The sequence below is a fragment of the Homo sapiens genome, chromosome 15 (genome assembly GCF_000001405.40).
Source record: "Homo sapiens chromosome 15, GRCh38.p14 Primary Assembly".
NCBI classification, from domain to species: Eukaryota; Metazoa; Chordata; class Mammalia; order Primates; family Hominidae; genus Homo; species Homo sapiens.
In genome coordinates this window covers 77,905,327-77,912,269 of record NC_000015.10, presented here as the reverse complement: position 1 = coordinate 77,912,269, position 6,943 = coordinate 77,905,327, and the positions used below count along the sequence as shown (strand labels likewise).

At 55.1% G+C, this 6,943-nt stretch overlaps 1 pseudogene; it reads right to left on the bottom strand.

Annotated features, from left to right (window-relative positions):
* Positions 1,878–4,010, bottom strand: DNM1P9 (dynamin 1 pseudogene 9; annotated as a pseudogene).

Below are 6,943 nucleotides of genomic sequence, written 5' to 3'. Positions count from 1 at the left end.
AACTTTATCTTAAACAGTCATTTTAAAAGAATATAACTATTCAAAAACGTAACTGCTATCTTAAGTTTTAAAATAAGTTAAAACATTTTAAAATATGAATACTGTAGTTTAAAAGAAAGAAACTGGGGGAAGGAAAAGTAGAGAAATGCCAATTCCAATGCAAGGCTTTATTTGCCAAGTTTTCTTAGAATGACTTTTACCAACTGATGAATTCCTGTAAACAGAATGTATAATGGAAATACGGAAACACTGTTGCCTAAAGTGGCATTATTCACTGCTACTGTGATGCTACTGTAATGTAATAAATTATTAAATTGTTGCAAAGTGCTGTTTTTGCCTTAAAATTTTGTGTGTCTTGAAAACTATAGTATTAAAGGTATTGAGACTGCGCAAATGCTGGGCACGCTTGGCATGAGATAATCGGTTTTTATTTTTACAAAATTGTAATGTAACTATGCAAGTGTGTTTATTAAAAGAACACAAACAAAAAAGTTACAGGTATTAAAAAAAGTTGTGGGATGAAAAAGTTATGGGATAAAAAATGCTGTGGAAAAGTTGCGGCAAAAGTTGTGGAAAAAAAGTAGAAAAATGTTTTATGAAAAGTTTTTGAAAAAGTTATGAATAAAGTTACTGGATTTTTTTAAAAAACTCAAGGGATAAAAATAAAAGCAGGTCTCTGTCAGCATAAGCCCAGAGAAGTGGGGCTGGAGTCTCCATCCCTACCATGTTCTTACCAACCCTTCCCAGTCACCCCTTTACCATTAGGGTAGCAAGACAAGACCCCTGTCTAATGGGGGGAGAAAAACAGACCCTTTGCCACCTTGACCAGGGCTGAGTCCTTAAGTTTCTGGATGATGATGATTATTATTTAAGAGCCAGAGGCTGGTAGAGCTGGTTTGTTTGGAGGAGGCCTGATGGCCTCCCTACTCTCACCAAAGCAACTTTTCCCTCAGGGGGCTCCCATCTTATTCAGAGAGGCAGCTGAGGTGGGACAGTGGAGCTAACCGTAGAGCAGGCGAGGGCATGGGCTGCTGTGGTGGCCCCCCTTCCGCAGTGTACATATAGTATCTGTGTAACATTTTGTATATTCCGGGTGGTAGGGCCACCCCCTGTATAGTACCTAGCGGAGGTTGGAGCTGGCATATGAGGAGGAGGTTCTAATCATTATTTGTGGCTGGGAAACTTATTTATTGATAGCATAGGACAGAGGAAGGAGGAGGGGATGGGGTCCTGGCTGCCTTGGTGATGCGACTCCTGTTTATTTTGCTTTCCATTTTGGAATAAATGGATTTAGCCATACTGCTCAGCGTGGTGGGTTCCCATTTCCCTCACTGGGTCCTGGAGTTTGTGCCACTGAATGAAGAGCCCCAGAGTGAGCATGTCCAGCTGGGCTGTTGGGGACCTTCCAGGCCTGTTACTTGTATGCTGCCTGGTGACACCTGGTGGATTGCATGGGGACTGCCATGGCGCCTATGGGGCACAGTCCGACCCTGACAGCCAACAGGCTCAGAAGCCTGATCTAGCGGTGGCCGGGAAGACAGATACCGGCACCAAAGGGCACTGACTTCCATCCACCCCCGGCATCTTCCGTTCCGTCCCCTTGCCTCCCTCTCCTGTCTGCACCGGGTGGCCTGTTCTGTCTGTCCCTCTAGAGTGTCAGCTGCCCCGCAGGCTCCTCCAGGCTGAGTTCATGGCCCTGCCCCCTAGTGGCCAGAGCCAGCTTCACAGGATAAGAGCCAGCTAAGCTCCAGGGGCTTTCCAGGAAGTGTCCCTTGGAAAAGGTGTGGCCTTTTCACCACTCCCAACAGCACCCTAGAAATGGCTTGGCCTTTTCCCTCCCCTGAGCTCCACAGAGAACACAGCCAGCAGAGGACACATTCCCCATCATCCAGAAATGGGTTTGATTCTCAGCCAAGGGACACCAGGACTGGTAGAGACTGTCAGGCCACAAAGCTGCCTGCACAGCACCCCCATGCTTGGTGGGGGGTGGGAGGGATGGCGGGGGCTGGCTGTCCACAGGCCAGGCATGACAGGGAGGCTCACTGGAGGTGGCACACTTTGGAGGGGCAATGTCAGGGGAGAGCTTCCTCTTGCTGGGCCACAAGATTCCACAAGGACAGTATGGTGACTGATTCCCAGTGCTAGAGGCAAGGCGGTCAGCCATGTGTAGGTGTATATATATGTATGAGTATTTATAGATATTTATAGAACAGGGCAGGGGCATACCACAGAAAGGGCCCAAGTTTTCAGCAACGGTCACACCTGGATGTGTCAGCTCACCACTATGACAGACTAAGTCACAGATGAAGGGGGCTGGCTTTGGGGCTGGGGGAGCCACTGTCAAGTCACAGGACACCCGCCCAGGCAGGCTTGGAAAGGGAGGTCTCTGAGAAGAGGAGGATCTGTTTAGAGGTCGAAGTGGGGCTGGGGCTCTCGGGACGGGATGGACTTGCCTGACCCAATCAGCTGGCAGTTGGAGAGAAGCAGAGAGAAAATAGGAGAGAGAAAAGCAAGCAGAGAGCGGGTGAGGCAAGCACAGAGTACGGGCGGGCACGCTGCAGCAGCTGTGGGAGGGCCAGGGTGGGGAGGGTGCAGGTGCGGGTGTAGCAATGGTTCCTGGAAAACAGGGGCTGGAAGGGAAAGGGGAGGAAGATGGAGGGAGGAGCCGGAGCTTCACAGGTAGTGCCTGGGGGCTGTGGCAGCCCTCCCCAGCCCACACATGCTGGCCTCTCCCATGGCACCCAGGCAGTGCACCCAGAGTTCAGACTAATGCTCAGCCGCCTTGGGCTTCTCTCTTCTCTGCTCACCCTCTCTTCCAACCCACTGGCCCAGGGCCACCTCTTGCCTGGGGAGCCCCACCCAACAGCCACCAGGCCTGATAGAGAAGGAACACTGCTTAAACCAAAATGGTGAAGCTATAAGGGCTGGATGGCTGGAGTGAGTGCCAGAGGCCCCTCTGGGCGGTGAGAATGTCCAGGGTCCTCTGAAGGGACCCTGGGGAAGGCAGGGAGGGCAGGTAGCCGGATGCCACTGGCCATAGACTTTAAGAGGGGAGCCTCAGTTGGTTGCGGGGTGGGGGGGCTGCAGGTTTCATAGCTGAGGCTGGGTCCTTCCTGCTGGGAAAAGCAGAAGAGGGAGAGTCCGTGGCAGGGGAGGCGGGTGGGCTCACTAGGCGGAGCTCAGCTGGGCCAGCAGGCACTGTGGTCCCCTTGGCTGAATAGCACAGGCGACCCCTAGGAGCAACAGGCCAAGGTGCGTGAGCCTGCTGGTCGGCGATAGTGCTTCAGTGGGGGCCAGGGACCCTGCCTTCGGTCACATGCTAGCAGCTATGATGGTACCTCAGAGGGAGGGAAGGGGGCTGTGTGTCCCTGTCTGGCCTGTGAGGTGTGTTGTGGGATGACCGTGTGTATGGGACTCTCAGGGTTTTATCCTAGATCACCACTGGATTGCCAACAGATAGAGGAGGTGGGACCCTGACTATCACCCCTGCTCTGCAGTGGATTTGGCTCTCAGCACTCCCAGGCTGGGAGCTGGATACCCTGACCTGGCAGCATGACTCAGACTGCACGACAGGCACAGCATTCCTAGACCTCTGGCCGCCTCAGAGTCCAGCCCCACACACAACGCCCTCCAAGCTCCCAGCCCCTACACCATAAACCACAAGCTCTCTGTCCTCTCTGACAGCTCCAGAGAGCACTCATGTCTGCCAGCTTGGGCATGGAGCCTGTTCCAAGAGCCCCCAGGCTCAGCCATGGAGGCCCTGGGCAGTGGCGCTGAGTCCCATGGCTTGCAGGGAAGGGAGGTGAAAGAGCCAGCAGCACCAGGACAGAAAGAGGAAAGAGCAAATCTGCAGCTCCAGAAAGGAGGGGCAGGGAGCCTGGATCTGAGGTCCCAGGTGCGCCCCCGTGTGGAGCTGGTGCAGCGGGGCGGGAACACCGTTCATGCAGCAGGCGGTGAGGCATGTACCTACCATGGCTGATGCTCCTCAGGGGCCACTGATAGTGATTCTGAAAGCATCAGATCAACATGGCAGGTCACACGCATGGGTGGGGCAGGCCTGGGGTTGTGGAACACACACACATGCGCATGCCGGGGTGTGCACACACATGCTGTGAGGCCCCACAGCCGGCATGCACACGCTAACACACATGTCCACAACACACATACGCCTCCTTCCCCGCCACCTCCCGGTGCCCAGCACCCTCACTGGCTGGCACGTGCAGCACAGATCTGGGGCGTGCAGCCACTCAGCACACTGAAGCACACACATGGGCAGAGTCACAACGCGGAAGCTCACCCGCACACCGAGGCATTTGCAGCAGCTCCCTGCACACTCGTGCCTGGCGTGCTCAGAGGACCACCGGTGTTGCTCATGGAGACAGGGCTTGCTCGCTAATGTCCAGCTGTCATTTCTCCACCTAAGAGCCTTCCATGGCTCCCTACTACCTACAGCATTGAGCCCCAACAAGTCATACTCTTCGGACTTTGAAGGTTCTCCACCCTATGCCCCACCCTCCCCACAGAGCTCTTCCTCATTCCGTCTCTGTTCCCTGCTTTGGCCAGTGGCTGTCCTGGATGCGGCCCACACTACACCTCTGCCCACACTGCAGCTCTGTACCCAGATACCCTCCAATTCCTCGCCACATAATTCTATCTCAGTCATGCCCCGGACTGCGTTGAAGCCAGGCTGCCTTGGAGAAGCTCTCCCAGACTGCTCTTTTCCCCAAGGGAGGGTCATGATTTGCCAAATGTTTCGCATGTGTTAGCAAGACTGGAGTCGGAGCAGGCATTAAACCTTACATCCCATATGTCACACCTCACCATAAACCTGGGTGTCAAATACTCTGAAGAGTCTGAACTCACATTGGCAGTTAGCAAAGTGCTCCTACGGCCACATCTGCAGTTAACACAGCATCCCTATGGCCACTGTCTCCCTTGATCCCCATGGCCACCCTGGGAGAAAGGCAGAAAGTCATCATTTGATAGAAAGGATGCTGAGGCTCTGGGAGGGAAAGGGACTTGCCTAAAGCCCCAGGGTGAAGCAGCATCTCTGGACTCCCAGTCCAGTGCTCTTGCCCAGTGCTATGCTGCTTGCCTCTACCCATTTCTGTTGCTCATCAGCGCATCATAGGGCAAGCCCCAATCCCTGCCTCATTTTGGTTTATGGGCGCTGAACCCACAGCCCTACCCTACAGTCATTTGGAGACAAAAACAGATGCTATTGTTCTTTCTTAGAGAACGTGGCCAGTGGATATGGCACACTGGGAATCAGAGTGAATGTCCTTGAAAGAGGGCCATGGGCCAACAAGGCCAAGCCAGAGGATGCAGAACGCTTTTCCTTAGAAATCTTTGGGAGTGAAACAGGCTTCAGACACTCCCGTCCCTGCCCCTGCAGCCACCCCTACCACATTGGTTTAGACAGGGTAGGGTGGGGCGGGGGCAGGGGCAGGGGTGGAGGAAAAATCAGATTGCCCATGCCCCCCAGGCTCCTTCCCCAGCTGCTTCTGTCCTAGCCCAGGCCTGGTGCCATTCTCCCACTCACACTCGTGTGCAAGCCCACACACACATCACACACCTTGATGCTCACAGTCGCAGCCTGGCCTCTGCTCCTGTGGGCCAGTGGCCAGACACCCCCTGGGATGGCTCAAAGGAGTCAGGACTTGGAAATGGGGACATCAGGGTAGCTGAAGGAAATCCACACACCCAGAACATCTCGGGGTTCAGACTCTCTGACCTGAGGGAGGCTCCCCGGGGGCTGGGAGAGGAGTTGGATGGAATGGAGGATGGAGGACAGCGAGAAGAAGAAAGGAGGAGGAATGCAACGTGTGGGGCGGCCGCCAAGAGTGAAAATAGAGGGAAGCGCCATGCAAGTGCTGGAAAGAAGGGGGCAGGTGGGATGAGCCCCACAGACCCCTCCCCAGAAATGACCACCTCCGGGACTCAGCGCTCCCTGGGGGGCAGGCTCTGCCAGCTCAGCCACATGTGGCTCTGGCACCCATGGCCCCAGTGCCTTGGATGGAGACGGCCAATTCTGGTGGCCAGGTCCAATGCTCTGGAATCCAGCCCCATGTCAGGGGGACGCCTGACCCCTTCCCTGCCCAGTTCAGTGTTGTGGGACAGGGCTGCTGTCAAGACAATACCCAGTCCTGCCCTCCTCCCTGAGTGGGCCAGGTAGCCCACATAGCCTCTTCCCCGCTTTCCTGGGTGGCACTGCCAGCCTGCCCCCCTGGTGCCCATTCAATCTAGTCCTTCATATTTCTGGGGCACGGGGAAGCTCTGAGTAACGTGGGACTATAGAGTGCAAGAGGGTTGCTGATGGCCTGGTCCTGTGCCCTCCCCATTCTTGGGCATTCTTGACAAAGGCTCCCAGCAACTGAGGGTACGCAGCAGCTATAGACACCAGCCTGACAAATATCTCATTGTGGGGAGGGGGCCATAGCAGGAGTGGGGAGCCAGGGAAATACAGAACCCGGCACTGGGGGGTGTTGATGTGAGAAGCCCAAGAGACTTCATTCCACCTGTCAAAGCCACCTCCTTCCAGCTGTCCAAAGGCTCCCCATCTGAGCCACTTGCTGGGCGGGGACTTTGGCTTTGCACTTGCTGAATACCATCTGCGCCTCTCAGGAGGGAGAGTGCCAGGTTCACGAGGTCCCTGCCCAGCAAGGGAGCTAGGAAAGGGGGCTAGGGGTGGGCTCTGCCATTTTCAAGGGCTGGCGGGGGGACCCCTCTGGAGGTACTTGGGGCAGTATCACGTGCCGTGGCTCCTGAGTGACAGAGTCAGCTCTGCACCCGCAAGAACGCGCCCTACCCAGAACTCACTGTCATGTGCTGGGTCCAGATGCCCACGCAGCCTCCTGGTGGGAGCATCAGGTGCACCACCTGCCCAGGACAGCCCATGGAAGAGTCTGCCCCGCTCTGCCCTGCTATGGAACAACTCCTGTTG